Genomic DNA, 20,017 nt, shown 5'->3' with positions numbered 1-20,017 from the left:
ACACATGTTGCAATGGCTAATCTTATGTGTCAACTTGATTGGGCTGTAGGGTGCCCAGATATTTGTTTAAACATTATTCTTGGTGTGTTTGTAAGGGTGTTTCTGGATGGGATTAACATTTGGATCAGTAAAATGAGTTAAGCAGATCACCCTCCCCAATGTGGATAGGCCTCATCCAATCTGTTAGATGCCCAAATAGAACAAAAAGGCAGAGTAAGAGAGAATTCATTCTCTCTGCCTATCTTTGAACGGGTGCATCTATCTTCCCCTGACTTTGTGACTGGACTCAGATTGGAACTTATACCACTGGCTCTCCTGGGTTTCCAACTTGCTAACTATAGACTGTGGGACTTCTCAGCCCCCATAACCATGTGAGCCAATTCCTTATAATAAATCTCTCTCTTTATGTATATACACTGTTTCTCTGGAGAACCCTAATACACATAGGAAGGTGGGTCCCTGATATTGGCAGAGGTGAGAAGACACTCCCGGAGCCCTTGCAAGGTGTGGTGGCCCATGGTATGTGTGCCTCTAAATGTTGGAGGGGCTTCTATGTAATGTTGGCTCAGGGCCTAGGATTCGAGCTTCTGCCTATCTCATAGGAAACAAGGCCAAGGTGAGTGAGCTGTGCTGTTCCATTGCTGTCCCATCCCAGTTAATCCCCCAACTTGTCTCTTCTCTAAGTACCAGTTGAGGATTTAAAAAGGACTTTTTTAACTTCCTCTCCCATTTTGATGTTTGTTGATCTGATTGGCTCAGTGGTTCAGAAAGCGTTTCCATGATAATACTACTTTACATTTACTTGTTGGTATGCCATTTTACAGATGACAGTGTCAAGAATCACATCATTCTGTCACAGAAAGAGCGCTGACACTGGATGGGGAGGAGGAAAGCTTCCCAGGCTGGCTGAGAAATACCATAGTCACTCTCCCCTCACACATTCCAACCTCAGATATGCTGTGTATTGCACAATTGTCTTGCTTCAAAATTCAATGCCTGCAAACCTTTGGAATGGGGAGCAGTGTGGACAGGAGACTGGTTCTAGAAAGAGGAGTCCCAGGCACAAGACCCAGCTCCACCACTAACTGCCTATGACCTTGGGCAAGACCTAAAACCTTTCTGGGCAACCTCTTTTAGCTGAAACATCATCCCAGGCTTCCCTTCCTGCTTCTGCTCTACGTAGGCACCACCACACTGCAGGCAGAGAAGGACCAGTGACCTCACCCCAGCCAGCAAAGCAGGCCTATTAATAGGGCCCCAGGCTGCTCTGGCTTCCCGTCTTGGGCGCCCCCAGGGCTGGCTGGCGCCTCCCAGCTTGCTCTCCCGCGGAGAACTAGCGGAGCTGACTCCCCGTGCACTTCCGCCTCCCTCTCTGGTCTTAGCCGCCAACAGGAAAGGTGGGCTCCAGGGGAAGCACAGCCTAGAAGAGCAGTGATATTGGCTTTAAGAGGAGAAATTGAGAAGAAAACAAATCTCGGTCCCTTCTCCGCCCTCGCTAAACCTGCCATCTTCCTGGGGGACAGAGGTGGCCCAGACGTGCGAAGAGGAACAGGAAGGACCCTCCAAGCTTTTGGCCTCAGGTGAACCAAGTGCAGAAAGTGGAGAAAAAAGTATCCCTCGCCTAATGCCACGCCCCTTCCTCCCCTCAATTTCCAGTAAAGCCTCCGGACAGCCTCTATATAGCGACTCCCCAAGTCCCATCCACCCCAGACTGTTAGGCGGGCGCGGACACCGCCCGCATTACCCTCCGTTCCGGTCCCCCGCGGGTGGGCGCGCAGCCTTCGCTGCAGCCCGCAGGGTCAGAGGCGGAGCAGACAGCTGGGGGCGCCCCGGCACCAGGAGGGAGTAAGCCTTCGGCAGGCGAGGGCCGTGGATTCCTCGGGGAGCCAGGGCCGCTCACCTGGGTCCGGCCCGGCCCGCTGAGATGGGCTCGGTCTCCTCCGCGCTGGCGCGGTCCCGCAAAGCCGTAGTGCAGTCGGGCTCGTTGCCACCGCAGCCTGAGGCGCCACCGGCTGCTCCCGTTGCTGTCGGAGACCCATTCGCGCTCCCTAAAACCCAGAGGCCGGGACCCCGGCGTGGGGAGACACTCTCCCCTCCCGTAGCCTGTGAGGCACAGCCCGCGGCGAGACATCGAGAAGAGCTGCCGAAGTTGGCGAGGCAGGAGCTGTCCCCGGTGCTGAAGCGTGAGGCGAGTATGTCCCAGCCCTGCTGGCCACGAAGCCGCAGCGCAGCGGGTGAGTTTCCTTACCTTGCTTAAGGATCTCACAGAGCTGCTGCCTGGAGACTTTCTGGGGGAAAAGAGAAAGCGCTATCTCCCGCAGGATTTCCCGTTTCTCGTCCTCGTGTCCATAACTTCTTTTACAAGTTAGGATTGATTTCTGGGTTGAATAGGAGGCTATTTCAGAAGGCTTATCTTTCACAGAGGTTTAAACAGTAGGTGGCAAGACAGTTTACACCCTAAGGATCCCTTTCCCCAGCTTAGTACCGGGGCCGGCACCATGGGGAGAAGCCTTTCTTGTTGTCTTGGAAAGGCAAGGATAAAAGAAGCACCTTTCCCATCTCCTCCCACGGGAATTGGGAAAAGGGCCAGAAATTCCTGCTTGTCCAGACCTAGTTACACATGTGAAAGGACTTGAGGTGTGCAGTTGGGGGAAGACTTGCCTTTAGGGTAGATAACATAGGATAAGTGAAAAGAGCACACACGATTTGAAGTCAGAGGTGGACGTGCTGCTTTCATTGCGATCTTGGGCAAGATACTCCCCCTGTGCCTCCGTTTTTTCATCTGTGACACAGGGATGATAATAATTCCGTCTCACTAGGGAGCTGGAAAATCTGACCACACAATGTAAGTAGAAAGGCTGTGAAAACTGTAAAATACTATGCAAATATTCCGTATTACACATGAACCAGATCTTTGAACATCTTCAGCTGAGGGAATAGTGAAACTTCACTCACTTTAAAAATTTTAGTTTGAGATATTCAAAGATTCCATTTCGTCGGGGCAGATCCTGTTTTGTGCAAGTGGGAGGAAAATGCCTTAGTTTGTATATGTGATTTAAAAAAATCTCTTACACTGGAAATGTTGCTAAATACATCTCTGGACTTTTGGTCTCATACATGAATCCTCACTTCACCCCAAGCAAATTTGTGGTGCTCACGGGGATGGTCTGTTGACTTTTCAAGAAGGATTCAGTAGATTAAGTGGATAGTGAGGGGGACTGGCTTACAGTTTAACTTACTGAGAGATGAGGATCCATATATCCTTATTCCCTTGAAAGTTTTCAAAATATTAAAAGAAGACACAAACACTCTGTCCTTTCAAGGGGAGATTTATCATTGTGAAACATGTTTATTTCTTCCATCCAGAAGACATATCTTTGTGGTATTAATGGGAAGAGAACCAGATCAGGAGTCAGGACACCTGGGTTCTGCTAAGCTCAGTATCCTTGGGTGGGCTACTTACATTTTCTAAGCGTGTACAATCTGCTCTTTTAAAATGAGTACAGCCAGGTGCAGTGATCCCAGCCCTTTGAGAGGTGGATTGCTTGAGCTCAGGAGTTCAAGACCAGTTTGGGCAACATGGCGAAACTCCATCTCTACCAAAAACTCAAAACACTGGCTGGGCATGATGGTGCATGCCTGTAGTCCCAGCTACTTAGGGGGCTGAGGCAGTAGGATAGCTTAATCCCAGGAGGTCGAGGCTGCAGTGAGCTGAGATCATGCCATTGCACTCCAGCCTGGGTGACAAAGTAAGACCCTATCTCAAAAAAAAAAAAAAAAAGTACAAATATAGTTACACCATTTTCTATGCCATGAAACTCAAAGGAAATTATGGAGGCAAAAATGTGTTGCAAATCATAAATATAGTACAAGAGTAAGGCATTATCAAGGAAAATTCATATTTTTAAATGTGCAGATACATATTTAGTTTTTATAAAATCTGTCATGGTCCACCTAATATAGGATGAAACATGGGCTTCCTTTGTGAAACTCATTAATATATATATTTTTTGTGTGTGGGAGATATCAGTTCAATTACAAACATATGTAACCATGAAAGGATATTACCACATTTTTTCTCCTTCCTTCCTTCCTTCCTCTTTCTTTTTTTTTGAGACAGGGTCTTGCTCTGTCATCCAGAGCACTGTCTGCAGTGGTGCGAGCACAGCTTACTGAAGCCTCAACCTCCTGGGCTCAAGCAATCCTCCCACCTCAGCCTCCTGAGTAGTTGGGACTACAGGTACATGCCACCATGCCTGGTTAATTTTCATGTTTTTTGTAGAGACAAGATTTCTCCAGTTGCCCAGTCTGGTCTTGAACCCTTGGGCTCAAGCAATCCACCCATGTTGGTCTCCAAAAGTGCTGCACCTGGCTATTTTTCTTCTTCTGCTTTCACCGGTTTGGGCAGGAGATTTGGATATTGCAATTTATTCACACATTTATAATGCCAGAAAACCAATTTCTAGCAATTTTCATTGAATTAGATTCGTTCTGGATTTGACGACACCTTGGAAATACTTTTAACTTTAACTTTTTGATTATACAAGAATTTTTTTCAATCCCTTCCATTTTATTTCATAAGAAATATATGCAATTAAAAATTACATTCTGAGTTTTATATCACCTAGGATACTTATGCAAAATTATTCAATTTCTATATTTTGATCTTTTTGAAAAGAGTGGTATTTGAGCTCACGTCTTTGAAGAGAGGTGGGTTTAGGTAGCTGGAATTGCAGATGAGGCTCATTTTTATCATCTGTAAAAATGAAATGAATTGTCCTTAGCTGTGAAGCTAGGTAGCCTTTTACTGGACTAGATTGAACTTCTCCAGATATTGTGTGGAATAGCAGAGAACCTGGGAGTAAACTAGTTATGCTGCAATCTAAAACTTGTACTTTATAAGCCAAGATGAATATATATGAATATATATATATGTAATATAATATAATGTCTGTGTGTATAGGTATATATACATAAACAGTATTGCTGGATGCTATTTTATGAGATTGTGGGATGGATGCTTTTATTATCACTTTATAGATGAAGACATTAAGGCATATAGAGGTTAATTAGTCACACAGCTAGTAAATGACATACTTTAAACACAGGTTGTCTGGTTCTAAAACTTGTGTTCTTACCTTTTCTCTATGCTGCTTGTCTTAAATGCTGTGTGCTTATTTTCCGTTTGTTAACTCTTTAGTTTATTTATTTATTTTTATTTTAGTTTTGAGACAGGGTCTTAGTCTGTCACCCAGGCTGGAGTGCCGTGGGACCACCTCGGCTCACTGCAATCTCAGCTCACTGCAAACTCTACCTCCCAGGCTCAAGCGATCCTCCTATTTCAGCCTCCTGAGTAGCTGGAACTACAGGCATGCACCAACACACCCAGCTAATTTATATATATCTATTTTTTGTAAAGACAGGGTTTCACCATGTTGTCAGGCCTGGGCTCAAGTGATCTGTCTGCCTTAGCCTCCAGGCCTGGGCTCAAGTGATCCACCCGCCTCAGCCTCCCAAAGTACTGGGATTATAGGCATGAGCCACTGCACCCGACTTAGTTTATTATTAGTAATGTCTTTTGAAAGTTTTATCTTGTTCCAGCTATGGTCAGAGGAACCAAGGGAAAGTACATTGGTCCTGGAAGGGAGGTGTCAGAGTATTAAGAGAGAAACTGTCACCTTGGGTATTACTGGGATGGTAATTAAAGCCAGGGAACTTGAATGGGAAAGTACAGCTCAGGGTATTAAGTCAGCTGTCTCTCATGGAAATTTAACTGCTTTGAGCCTATGGGATTTGTTGTGTTAAGGATGTTCCACTATTTCTCTGTCATCATGTTGTGAAGATTAAATGAGATAATGTACCAAAGCCCGTGTGGGGACCTGGCATATGTCAGGTGCAGATGTTTTCTAGGTTTGTCTGTTTTCAAAGCTTTGCTTTCAGATCTCACTAGTGGAAAAGAGGGAGCACCTTACCACATTTTCAATGAGAAGTTACCTCAGAACAAACAAGTAATTAAATAAAACACATTACAAACAACAGTTCACAGCTATTCTTTATTGCTTAATAATCTGAAGTTGATTATGAGAGGCTCCTAGCATTTGTTAGAAATTCCTCTGGTTGCAGAGAGATCCTGACATTATTGATTAAAGTGTTTTTTTTGGTTAATGATCTGTGTATTAAAATTATTGAAGCTCTTTTCCTTTTCAGTTACTATCTTTTCTTGTCTTGCTGTTTTAATATTTTGAAAAGATGTGTCAAGTGCTGATTTCAAAGTGTAGCCAACATTCATCAAATAGCAGTGTTAGAGCATTGTCTTGCTGACTCATTGCTTCTTGGTTTCCATCTACGTCTTCTGTGAGTCTTGGTGAAGTTACCACTATTTGTCTCTAGCTGGGTCCTCTCAGATACTAGGATCAGTAGATTTCAAACATTGGTGTTTATCAAAATCACTTGGAGAGATAATTACAGACGCTCAGGCTTGTTGCCATGGGATAGGACCAGAGTCTTAGCATTTTAACCAAATTTCCCAGGTGATTCTATTACCAGCAAAGTGTGTATCACAGTCACCCAGGAGCTTGCTGAAACACACAATCTTGGGTCCTTCCTCTCGACTTTCTGGTAAGTCTGACAAGCAACCTGAGAGTTGCATTTCTTCTTTTTTATTTTTTATTTGTTTTTTGATACAGGGTCTCACTGTCTTGTCCAGGTTGGAGTGCAGTGATGCAGTCACAGCTTACTGCAGCCTCAACCTCCTGTGCTTAAGCAATCCTCCTACCTCAGCCTCCTGAGTAGTTGGGACCACAGGTGGAAGCCACCATGCCCAGCTAATTTTTTGATTCTTTTTGTAGAGACAAGGTCTCACTATGTTGCCCAGGCTGGTCCTGAACTTTTGGGTTCAAGAAATCTTCCCATATCAGCCGCCCAAAGTGCTGGGATTACAAGTGTGAGCCATCACACCTGGACTTGAGGGTTGCATTTCTGACCAGTTCCTAGATGCTGTGAATGCTGCTAGTCAAAGGGTCACAGTTTGAAAACTGCTGTTCTACGAGTAGAAATCACTGGGAGGGCGAGTAGATATTGGGTGTATTGTGTTAGCCATTAGTGAGTTCTTGGGATCTGGGCAGTGCTGTGGAGGAAAGAGATTCTGGATTCAAGTCAGATTATTCTTTATCTAATCTCTCTCCTTCACCTCCCTAGCCCTTTTGCAACCACTCTCTTGCCAATTTCTAAAACATCAGGATACTTATGATCCTTTACCAGTGATGCCTTTAATCTGGGATTAACATTTTAGGGTAAATTTTAGCTTAATTGAAAAGATGACCAATGCGAAAGTTAAACAAAACTTTTGTGATTTTAAAGATTGGTATGTGCTGTCATAAAAAAGAATGAAATCATGTCTTTTGCAGCAACATGGATTTAGCTTGAGGCCATTATCCTAAGTGAATTAATGCAGAAATAGAAAACCAAGTATACATGATCTTACTTATAAGTGGGAACTAAACATTGGGTAGACAGGAACATAAATATGGCAACAATAGACACTGGGGACTAGCTGAGGGGGGAGGCCAGGTGGGGGGGAAAGGGTTGAAAAACTACCTATTGGGTACTATGCTCACTACCTGTGTGACTGGCTCAATTGTACCCCAAACCACAGCACCATGCAATATATCCAGGTAACAAACTTGCACATATGGGGCTTGAATCTAAAATTAAAGTTGAAATTATAAACAAATGAAAAACAAAGATTAACTCAAAAAATAATAATAAACATTGGTGTGTAGATGGTGAAGTAGTGACACCACCTGTGCCTTAACCTTCAACATTTGTAGCACCTGCAACGTGTGTCCCTGCGCTGAGTTAATCTAAATAGACACGAGCAGCCTTCTCAAGCTTAGGTTAGTGACAGGCAATACCGATGAGAATGCACTGTAATGGGCAAGTGTGGGGCCCCTGTGGGTGTGGCATTACCTCTAGGAACTGCTTTCCCCAACACACTTCCTTTCACCTAGGATGCAAGTTGGGGTCCCAGAGTCTTACCAAGGCAGAAAAGTCTCGGGCTCACTTTCTTTTGATTCTCTTTCCTGGCGGTTACTGGATTCATTGCTTTCAAAGTCAGTCTCAATTTGGGGCAGAATCAAGTAACCTGCCTAGCCATCAGTGGTACATTTGCTCCTGCTGGGTGTAAGATGTGGGGAAGAAATGTTAGGAAGCTTCTGTACAGCACTTTACAGCTTATAAAGCCCCTAGACAGCCTCTTTAACATTTGATCTTCACGACAGTTTTCTGAGGTAGATGGGGCAGATGGCTTTACTGTTCCCTTTTAATAAGGGAAGGGAATTTAAATCAACTTTTTACTTATTATTGATGACATGCTTTATCCTAGATCACTTGCAGTTAGACTTTCAGGAGTCCCATGATTAATTCTTCCAGGCAGCCTGGTGTCAGAGAAGGAGGCTCTGGAATCTCGATCATTGGCTCCCATACTTCCTGGCTATAGGCACTAATTTCTCTGAGCCCATTTTCTGATCTGGAAAATGGAAATTGTATTGATCTCACCTAAATAAGGCAATTTATGCAAGGTACTTGGCACATGCCTTGGGACTTGCTAGTCATTTAGTCAATATTGGTTACACACACATTAACGGATCATCCGTGTAGGTGAATCTGATTTGTAATCCAGTTCTCCTTCCACAATGCCATGATGATTCTTCCATGGAAATTAAACAATAACTGGAGTGAGGAAGGCAGGGAAGAGAAAGGGAGTGGGATGAGAGAGAGGCTGAAGGCCGCGGGGAGGCCAGCAAAATCCACAAAGCAGTTCATGTGGCCTTAGAGGGTTCAGGCCCTAGATCACCTACTTCTGAGGTAGGACACAGTCCTACATATTTATGTCATCCTTAGTGTTATATTTTCTGTAATTTACTCAAATTATTCAACCTAGTGCTGTGTGTGTGTGTGTGTGTGTGTGTTAGTTTTAATCCGCCTTCTAGGGGTGAAAACCCTGACTTTGAAAACTACCCCTCTGTGGTGTTCACAGCATCCTTTTGAGAGTCCAAGTGACTTGCTCATGGATAGACTGAGAGCTGGGATCAGGTGAGATCATGGATATTCAGGGCTTTGAAACAGCATGCACACATCAGACACTGATTTGATTTTTGTGGAATGGCTGAGATCAGGAAAACGGACTCTCACATTGAGCCATGGTTGGAAGCAATTGAAGCTAATGAGCAAATCTTACAGGAAACAGATGTGGGCTCTGCTCAAACTTGCCCTTCTCAGATATCACCTCCACTTTAAACTCCTTGAACCTGAGTAAAGATACTTAAAAAAAATATTTTAACCAGTTATTAATTTTAGTTTGTCAAATTAAAAAAAATACAAATAACTTGCATTTGCACAGTTTTCACATTACTTGAACAATTACAATCTTACTCAAATCTCACGACAAACCTTTGAGGTAGCTAAGACAAGCACTATTATTACCACCCCCCCTTTTTTTTTTGAGATGGAGCCTTGCTCTGTTGCCAAGGCTGGAGTGCAGTGGCACCATCTCGGTTGACTGCAACCTCCACCTCCTGGGTTCAAGTGATTCTTCTGCCTGAGCCTCACTAGTAGTTGGGATTACATGTGTGTGTGTATATGTGTGTGTGTGTGTGTGTGTGTATATATATATATACACATATATATACACATATATATATACACATATATATACACATATATATATACACATATATATACACATGTATATATATACACATATATATACACATGTATATATATACACATATATATACACATGTATATATATACACATATATATACATATATATGTATATATACATATATATGTATATATATACACATATATATGTGTATATATATACACATATATATGTGTGTGTGTGTGTGTGTGTGTGTGTGTGTGTGTATATATATATATATATATATATATATATATATGCCACCACACCTGGCTATTTTTGTATTTTTAGTAGAGACAGGGTTTTGACATGTTAGCCAGGCTGGTCTTGAACTCCTGACCTCAGGTGATCTGCCCACCTCCACCTCCCAAACTGCTGGGATTACAGGTGTGAGCCACCATGCCCAGCCTATTACCCCATTTTTACAAATAAAGAAACTGAGGTTCAGAGTAGTGCCAGGACTTGCTCTGGTCACACAGCGGACAGGATGAGTTAGGATTAGGAACCAGATCCTGGCCTCTGTGTGTGCATCTTACATCTCCGCACTGGTGGTGTCTAAGCTGTCATGGTGGAGCACAAGCACCAAGAGCGCAAGAGGCATGCTCTTTTGCATCTATGTTAGCAGCAAAGCCCTGGGTTTTTCCTTCTCAGCCAAGGAAAAATGTGGCCAAGTTGCAAAATATTGTCATTTCCCAGAAGGAGGGAGCCGAAGCCCAGGGCTAGGCAGCCACTGCCAGGAAGGTTGGGAACATTCTTTAGTCTAGAAGTAGCAGGAGCCTGCCGTGCCCTCCACTCACTGCCAGAACAGTAACTAATTTCAGGTTTATTCTCAGATGACTGGATTTTTGTGAAGCTACTAATGAGGTCACCCCATACCCCAAGGGCTCACTCTCCTGAGGGAGCTGAAGTTAACCTCCAAAGGAGACTCTCCGGGTAGGGAGGGAGTAGTTAGAGGGGCTGCTTTTTTGCTCTCTCTCTTTCTCTCTGTTGTTCTCTATACCTACTATTTTTTGAGTACTCTTTTTAGCAAGTTCTGTCTTATAAATATTCTGGAGGATACTAGGAAATTGTTAACTTGAACAATATATGAATTAAAGTAGAAGTCTAAATTCAGTAACAGGCTCTTTCTTCCAAGCTTTGTTCCCCTGTATTTTCTTCTCCCCAGCTTGTAGATTTCAAACTTGCCCATCTCAGATATCACCTCCACTTTAAACTCCTTGAACCTGAGTAAAGATATTTAAAAAATATTTTAACCAATTATTAATTTTAGTTTGTTAATTAAACTAACAGGTTGCCATTTTTTCCTCTGCCAGTCAGAGTACTGGGCTCCCTTACTGATGTCAGAGATCTTCCTAAGAGACCTCAGTAAAACTGAAGACAAAATGGGAAAAAAGAAGCCATTAGATCAGTACACACATAACAGATTCATTTATTCTTCTTGGTATCTGAGTGGGTTTTGCTTGCAGCTTAAATGCTCCAGGAGTCGGGTGGACCTCATTTACATGCTGCTTTGAAGATTACATGCAGGGCAGTTTGGAAAAAGTTTTTCATGCCCTGTCTGGCTGCTCTTTGGGACTTTAATTTTTAATTTTTTGTTTGTTTGTTTGTTTGGGACTTTATTACTTCCTGGATTTTGACACCCTAATAACTCAGTACCTTCTTCTGGTCCAAGAGACAAAAAATGTTACAAATATGAGGGCATCCCTTCAAAAATAAAGCCTCTGTTCTGAAGGAAAAAGTGAATCTTAATCTGGAAATGTGTGCTGCCGTATCTTCCCATATCTGATTATTGTCACGCAAGGATGCTATTTGGAAAGTGACTTTTTTTAATGATTGAAAAAGTGCAAATAAAACAATCATATCATTATATTTCATAGGAACAATAGACGTTAACATTTATTGAGCACTTACCCTGTGCCAGGCATACTTCATGCACCAGCATTAAACTAAGAGGTAAGTGCCATTGTTATCTCCTTTTCTTAGATGAGGACAATGAAGCTTGGGGAATTATCTGAGGTTGCACATCTAGTGAGTACGGGGGTCTTACTTGAACCCAGGTCTTAAGCCTTGTGCTGAACTGCCTGAGACATCAGTAGCAGCTTGAGGCTGATAAAAAAATAATTGGCCAACTTGCTACTGCCATGGAAAGAAATAGTATGTGGGGAAGACCATAGTACTGAGGAAGTTTCCAGAAGTAAGGCTGGGCATGATGGTTCACATCTGTAGTCCCAGCACTTTGGGAGGCTGAGGCTGGAGGATCACTTGAGCCCAGGAGTTTGAAGCTGCAGTGAGCTCTAAATACCACTGCATTTTAGCCTAGGTCACAGTGTGAGATTCTGTCTCAAAACCAAACCAAAACAAAACAAAAACAAACAAACAAAAACACAAGTTTCCAGAAGTACATTTTATAATATTTTAATGTTGCAGTCTAGATATAATTGGCAAATAAATTGATAGGTCAACAAGAGATAGCATTCAAATTACTACGTTGAGTCACATGATTTCTGTTTGGTTAAAGTTGAAATACAAGTAAAATAATAGAATTACAATATCAAGAAAAACTTGAGATAAATGAAGAAAGCGCCTAAAAGATCATCATCTTAATACAACAGATACTTTGATGCTTGCTTATAACCCTCTCCTTTTTTATGTGCACAGTATGATTTTTTTTTTTTTTTTTTACTAAATTGGGATTATAGTACCAAAAAAAAAATAGAACTTTTCCCTGGGAGTTAATATTGCTTATAGTTACACGGGCAGGCTCTGCAGTGAGAGAGATGGAGTTAGAATCTGGGCTCTGCCCATGATTAATGGGGCAAGTTACTCGAACCCTGTGAACTTCAGATTCCTCATCTGTAAAATGGGGATGCAAAAAATTCCATTTATTGAGTTGTTTGTGAGTTTAAGGGTTTAATGCAAAGCTCTCAGCATGGTGCTGGGCACAGAGTCAGTGCTCAACAGGTGTTTTTATTATTAGACATGTGAGATTTTATTAGCAGTAGTGGGATGTTTTTAGTAGGGCTTCCTTACCACTAAGGCTAAGCAGTTATCACTGGTTAAAAAAAAAAAAAAAGTCATCACTTTCTAAAAGAAATCAGTTACAACTGGGATTCACTCATGCTTTGTACCAGCTTTTCTGGGTGCCCTGAGCACCCAGCTTTTTCTTGGTTTGGGGCCTGTGCCACAGAACTGACTATGCTCCCTGGGACCGCTCAGCTCGTGGTAAATGCTTCTCGCAGCTTTGGTCCTTTTGAGCACACAGGCTAGATTAGTCTGTTCTGAGGGAGGTGGCAGCATTTAAAAGCATTGTTGTTCTCCTTAGTCTGTGCTATGTGTCGGCTGGGAGAGCCAGGCATGGGGTGGGTGTTTATGGCTAGCTCCCATATGTGGCGGTACTCTGGGCCTCTGTAGACCCACTGGCGAGTTGCCCCTCGATCTCTCCCAAGGTCACAGCTTTTTACTGTTGGCAATTTCTCCTCATACTGAGATGATACCCGTTCCTCTGCACTCATTTCCCCATAGACCTGTTCTGATTTAGAGAAGTGTGTTTTAACCATACAGACTTGACCCCCAGACTCTTCACTTTTTCCAAAGGATGTGTGCAGACCCCCATCCTGAGCCTGAGCCTTGCCCCATCTCTCACCTGCCCCAATTCCTGACAGCATCCCTGAGCTTCATCTTGTCTGTCATCCCATGCTCACCTTCCCTACACCTTGAAGAGACTGTGGACTGAATGAGAATCAGGAATGGGTGGGTGGCAGGGGATGAGGCTAGCTGATGAAATTGTATGTATAGTTTAATCACAAGTTTAAAAAAAAATTGGCCACATTAAAACCACCATGTCAAAATGGCTGTGAAATGGCCATCAAAATGTCTCGAGGTGCCTAATGCATTGGTCTGTTTCTCAGTAGGGAGTGGCCTCTTGGTGAAACCCCTCCAAGCTTACATTGTGAGTCTCCTGGAGGAACAGGGAGGGGGGATGGCTCCACATCCTTCCCTCTTCCAGGGCAGGGAGTGCCCAGAGTCCCGTCTCATCCTTATCCTTGAATATGTACGTCCGGGGCATTCCCTGAGCACCCACGGAGTCTCTGTGTCCAGGGGGAATCAGAAAGGGGAGGTTCTGGGAGGACTCTCCGACCTTAGATGAGTTATACTCAATGTGTCCTGCTGGCGTGGCCCAGGCCCTTACATGTCAGCACCTGTCAGCTTGTAAATCCATGAGCTCATGACCAACTCCCAGGCTCTAGTGGCAGGCATGTCAAGTCACATCACATCTGAAGGCTGCCTGGGGGAGGCGGGCGTGTGCTGGCATCAGGGAGGGCACCGTTGCCCCTCCACCCTGGTGGAGCCTGGCACCTGGGCCCTCTGTGCTGTGCTCCTGGTCACACCGCCACTCCCCTTTCAGAATTCTCAGCTCCTTTCCCTAAGAACCAGCTCCTGCTCAATTCAGGGAGAAAGGGTTGGAGGGGGCACTCTTCTTTTGCAGGGATTTTATTTACCCTTCACATGACCTTGGAGATGACTAGCCTATAAGCCAGCCAGCCAGAGTTGTTGCTTTTTCCATTCTGTCACTTTTTCCACAGCCACACTAATTGTGTGCTCCCGAGGGAGAAGGAAAGGACGTAGCGCTTTGTTCCCTGGCCCCTCTCCCACCGCCAGCCTTTTGTTCTGTTATCCCCAGTCCTCGGATTCAGGCTCCCTAATGTAGGGAAAGGGAGGAGGGTAAGAGAAGCCGGTGAGGAGGGGCCCCAGACTCTTGCCTGCACTCCAGGCTGCTTCTAAAGGTGTCCCATAATGAAACAATCCCCAATATAAGGCAGGTCCTCTTTTTTTCCTCTTTGAGAAGATTCCTCAAACATCTATTCTTAAATTTAAAAAACATTATTTATTTATTTATTTTTGAGACGGAGTCTTGCTCTGTTGCCCAGTCTGGAGTGCAGTGGCGTGATCTCGGCTCACTGCAACCTCCACCTCCTGGATTCAAGCTATTCTCCTGCCTCAGCCTCCCAAGTAGCTGGGACTACAGGTGCATGCCACCATGCCTGGCTAATTTTTGAATTTTTAGTGGATACTGGGTTTCGCTACGTTGTCCAGGTTGGTCTCGAACTACTGACCTCAAGTAATCTGCCCACTTCGGCCTCTCCAAGTGTTGGAATTACAGGCATGAAACACTGTGTCCAACCATATTTATTTATTTGTAGAGACAGGAGTCTTGCTAGGTTGCCCAGGCTGATCTCGAATACTTGGCCTCAAGCGATCCTCCCAAAGTGTTGAGATTAAGGGCATGAGCCACTGGGCCTGGCCAGAAGTGTATTTTCTTAAATGACCTACTTGAATATACAGACTTTGAAGGGGCTAGAAAAAGGTCCCATGTGTCCTTTTAATATTTATCTTATTACTTTTGTTACATCTATTTAAATATCTCAAGTTGCATAAAATACATTAACTTAGAATATTACTTTTCCATTTTATACTCCATAAAACAATTTTATTGAATCTTTTTACAGGCTTTTTTTTTTTTATCATTGGCATCATTGTTTTCTCTAAAGCCATTTCTGGGTCATCTTCACCTGTGTCTAAGTTGTTTGTATTACTGCACTTTTTGAATCTGTGAATGGTGCTGTCACTGTCACATATTACAAGGGAAGCACCGATAACTGTTTAGGCATCAGTCAGATTCCTCTCTCCACTTTTTGTGAAGTTGCCATTCTGATCAGCTGGAAAGGAGATACTTGATGCTACCAAATGCCAACTTCTTTTAATATGTCAGAATGAGTTGAAAATGGTTTCATTCTCTTTTAAAAAAGCATGCTTGTTGCAAAAATGTCAAATAATGTGGAATAAAGCACTAACAAACTCACCAGCTAAAGATAGCTACTGTGAACATTTTGGTGAATACCATTCCAAGCATCTCTTTAGGCACATATACACATACTGTATATGTATACATTTTATACAAATGGTATCAGATGAAACATGCTATTTTATAATGTAATGTTTTTTACTTTTATTTTGTGGGCATTTTTTGATATAAATATAGTTATACATCTTTTTTTAATGAGTGTTCTGTGTAGGTAGTATAATTTACCCCTCTACCCTTTATTATTTATTATTTTTTAATTTTTCCTTTTTTTTTTTTGAGACTGGGTCTTGCTTTATGGCCCAGGCTGGAGTGCAGTGGAACAATCAGAGCTCACTGCAGCCTCAACCTCCTGGACTCAAGCAATCCTCCTGCCTCAGCCTTCCTAGTAGTTCAGACTGCAGGCACACACCACCACGCCTGGCTAATTGTCAAATTTTTTATAAAGATGGGGTCTCACTATGTTGCTGTGGCTGATCTTGTACTCCTGGCTGCAAGTGGTCCTCCTGCCTCAGCCTCTGAAAGTACTGGGATTACAGGCATGAACCAACGCACCCAGTCCCTCCACCCTTTAATTGATGGATTTGGGGGCTGATTACAATTCTCTCTATTATAAACAATTCTGTGATAAACTTCCCTGGATTCTGAGACATAGTTATAATGACTTCTCTAATCTTATCCAAGGTTATAAAGGATTTTTTCATGCTTCCTTCTAGCTTTTTTAATTTGAAAAATTATTTATAATTTACAGAAGTAACAATCTTTACTATTTTAATCATTTTTAAGTGTACAGTTCAGTGGCAGTAAGTACATTCATACACACTGTTGTACAACCATCTCCAACATCCATCCATAGCATTTTTTTCATCTTGGCAAACTGAAACTCTGTGCCTATTAAACAGTATCTCCCCATTTCCCGCTTCCTGAAGTCCCTGGCAACCACCATTCTACTTTCTGTCTGTAAGTGTGATTACTCTGGGTCCTGCGTGTAAGAGGAATCATATTGTATTTGCTCTTTTGTGATTGACTTATTTCACTTAGCATAATGTCTCAAAGATTCATCTGTGTGGTAGGATGTGCTAGGATTTTTCTTCCAGTGTTAAAACATTTTATTATTAAAAATTTAAAACACACAGCAAGGTTGAAAGAATTTTATAGTAAACACTCCTATCATCTACTACTCAGATACGACCATTAACATTTTATATACTTGCCTTATCACATATCTATTTATCTATCCATCTGTCTACCTATCCTTTCATTTATCTTAATTTTGTACATTTAAAATTAAGTTGCAGGTGTCATGCATTCCCCCCTACGTAAGCCCACAAGCATACCACTAACTAGAGTTTGATATTTGCTGTTTATTTTCTTGTTTTGATGTACAATTTATATACAATAAAATGTGAAAATCTTAAGGGTAGATTTGCTGAGTTTTGAGAAATGCATACGCTTGTGTAACCCAAACCCCTATCAAGGTACAGGCCATTACCCTCATCCCCGTGAGTTTCCTCATGACCCTTCCCAGTCAATCTCCGCTGTACTCCCATCCCTAGGTATAATGACTATTCCAATTTTTTTTTCCGTGCTATGTTAGTCTTACCCCTTCTAGAATTTCCTATAAATGGAATCAATCATACAGCACAAATGCTATTGTGCAAGCTTTCTATGATGCTGCATGTTTCTGAGATTCTCTGTTGATGTGCCTGTCAATAATTCATTCCATTAAATTGCTGAGCAATATTTCATTGTATGACTGTATAGTTATGTCCTGCATAACGAATTTCGGGCAATGATGGACTGCATATGTATGTCAAAGAAGATGCTAATCGAGTTGAAAAATTCTGTTGCCTAGTGACATCACAGCTGTGGTGATTACTCACGTGTTTGTGGTGATGCTAGTATAAACCTACTGTGCTTCCAGTCACATAAAAGTATAGCATATACAATTATGTATACTACATAACACTTGATAATGATAATAAACAACTATGTTACTGATTTATGTGTTTGCTAAACTTTTTTTTTTTTTTTTTGAGACAGGGTCTCACTCTGTCACCTAGACTGTAGTGCAGTGGTGTGATCTCCGCTTACTGCAACCTCCGCCTCCTGGGTTCAAGTGATTCTCCTGCCTCAGCCTCCCAAGTAACTGGGATTACAGGCATGCACCACCATGCCTGGCTAATTTTTGTATTTTTAGTATAAACAGGGGTCTCACCATGTTGGCCAGGCTGGTCTCGAACTCCTGACCTCAGGTAATCCGCCTGCCTCAGCCTCCCAAAGTGCTGAGATTACAGGCATGAGCCACCGCGCCCAGCCGTATTTGGTCTGCTTTCAATGCTTATTTTAGAGTGTACTTCCTCTACTTATTAAAAATAAAGTTACCTGTAAAACAGCCTCAAGCAGGTCCTTCAGGAAGTGTTCCAAAAGAAGGCATTGCTACCATAGGAGGTGACATCTTCATGCATGCTCTTGTCTCTGAAAACCTGGTAGGACAAGATATGGAGGTAGAAGGCAGTGATGTTGATGATCTTGACCCTGCGTAGGCCTAGGATAATGTATTTGTTTCTTAGTTTTTAAAGAAAAAAGTAAAAAAAAAATTAAAATATTTTAGAAATGAAAATAGCTTATAGAATAAGGATATAAAGAAAATAATTTTTTTTTGCACAGCTGTACAATATGTTTGTGTTTTAAGCTACGTGTTATTACAAAAGAGTCAAAAAGTTAAAAACACTTAAAAAGTCTATAAAGTAAAAATGTTACAGTAAGCTAAGGTTAGCTTATTACTGAGGAAAGAAAAAAATCTAAAACAAATTTAGTGTCGCCTAAGTGTACAGTGTTTATGAAGTCTACAGTAGTATACAGTAATGTCCCAGGCCTTCCCATTCACTCCCCATTCACTCACTGACTCACCCAGAGCAACTTCCAGTCCTGCGAGCTGCATTCACAGTAAGTCCCTTATACAGGTGTATCGTTTAAAATCTTTTATACCACATTTGTACTCTTCTTTTTCAAGTGTTTAGCTGTGTTTAGTTCACAAATACCATTATGTTGCCATTGCCTACAGGATTTAGTACTGTAACATGCTGTATAGGTTTGTAGCCTAGGAGCAACAGAAGATACCATATAGCCCAGGTATGTAGTAGGCTATACTGTCTAGGTTTGTGCAAGTGCACTCTATGATGTTCATGCAATAATGAAATCGCCTAATCGCTGTTATTAAGTGACGCATGACTCTACTACGGTTTGCTCATCCACTTCTAATCTTTTTATAATTTGATTTGATTTTCATTTAATTTGGTTTGGAGTCTATCCTGGTGAACCATGTGAGTTAAAAGTCTAAATTTTTCCAGATGGCTATTCATTTGTCTCAACAGTATTTATTAAAATGTCTATTTTTGCTCCATTGATTTGGGATGCTAAATTTATTATATAGCAACTTCCTGTATACACTCGGGCATATTTCTGGATTGTCTATTCTGTTCCATTAGTCTATGAATCAGTCAGGTTAGGTTCCTGGTAGGAAACAGAATTTTGCTCAAATAGTTCAAATAAAGAGTTTAATGAAGGTGTAGTCAGGGTTAAGGGAACCTACAAGGGATGTTGAAGCACCCAGAGACTAGCAAAGGTGGACAGCCATCACACTTGTGGGCCTGAAGGAGCAAGGGGGTGGAATAGAGTTATCAAGGGCCTGTGAGAGCTGGAACCTGGAGAAGGAGGTGCCCAGCAGAGGCAGTGCTATGGAGGGAGCACAGCCACTGTCCGGGAAGCGGAGGAGCAGGGAAGAAATGCTCTCAGCTCTCTCTTCTCTCAGCTTCTGATCTCCTACCAGTGCCTCCCATTGGCTGAACCCATAGGAATCCAGAGGGCAAAGGAGGTGAGGACACAGGGCAAGGCAGAAAAGAGAAGAAAATGATGGGTAGATAATGGCCAAGTGGAGAAAAAGCAGCACAGACCACCTGTCTGTTCCATGCCAGTACCGCTCTGTTTTAACTGTTGAAGCTAGTTCAGCTCATTGCCATCGTTTCCTTCCTCTTCCTCCTCCTCCACCTCCTCCTCCTCCTCTTCCTCTTCTTTTTCTTCCTCCTCCTCCCCCTCCACCCCCTCCTCCTTCTCTTCCTACCCGCCCTCACCCTCCTTTTCCTCTTCTTTTAAATTCAGAGATGCGGGTCTCACTCTGTGGCCCAGGCTGGAGTGCAGTAGCATGATCATAGCTCACTGCACTCTGCCTCCTGGGCTCAAGCGATGCTCCCACCTCAGCCTCTTGAGTAGCTAGGACTACAGGTGTGTGTCACCACGCCCACCCTGGTTGGTTTTTAAAAAACTACTTTATATTGATTTTGTACTGCTGTGTCTTACTGAACTTTCCTATTGTTTGTAGTAGTTTTTTGGTACATTAGCATGAGTTTTCCAGATATATAATCATATGTAATAGTTTTATGTGGTTATTTCT

The 20,017-nt window shown here is 42.6% G+C and overlaps 1 protein-coding gene across 1 annotated transcript in view, besides 2 other annotated features; it reads left to right on the top strand.

Annotated features, from left to right (window-relative positions):
- Positions 1,598 to 2,411: an enhancer, noted in NCBI's record as "H3K4me1 hESC enhancer chr7:32467257-32468070 (GRCh37/hg19 assembly coordinates)". NCBI's record gives its function as "activates a minimal SCP1, AML or CMV promoter by ChIP-STARR-seq in naive and primed H9 embryonic stem cells {active_cell/tissue: H9 hESC(naive and primed)}" and the evidence as "EXISTENCE:reporter gene assay evidence [ECO:0000049][PMID:30033119]".
- The window catches only part of PDE1C (phosphodiesterase 1C), an 811,448-nt gene continuing 793,262 nt past the window's right edge, over positions 1,832 to 20,017 (top strand). Inside the window, exon 1 of the mRNA NM_001322059.2 lies at positions 1,832 to 2,234. Within this exon, the coding sequence (NP_001308988.1) occupies positions 1,925 to 2,234 (310 nt within the window). The 5' untranslated portion in view covers positions 1,832 to 1,924. The remainder of the gene's footprint in view (positions 2,235 to 20,017) is intronic.
- Positions 7,912 to 8,112: a silencer, noted in NCBI's record as "peak6468 fragment used in MPRA reporter construct". NCBI's record gives its function as "represses an SCP1 promoter by STARR-seq MPRAs in K562 erythroleukemia cells {active_cell/tissue: K562}" and the evidence as "EXISTENCE:reporter gene assay evidence [ECO:0000049][PMID:32103011]".

The sequence above is a fragment of the Homo sapiens genome, chromosome 7, assembly GCF_000001405.40.
Source record: "Homo sapiens chromosome 7, GRCh38.p14 Primary Assembly".
Classification (NCBI taxonomy): Eukaryota; Metazoa; Chordata; class Mammalia; order Primates; family Hominidae; genus Homo; species Homo sapiens.
The sequence above is the reverse complement of the archived record's forward strand: the minus strand, read 5'-3'. Positions and strand labels throughout refer to the sequence as shown.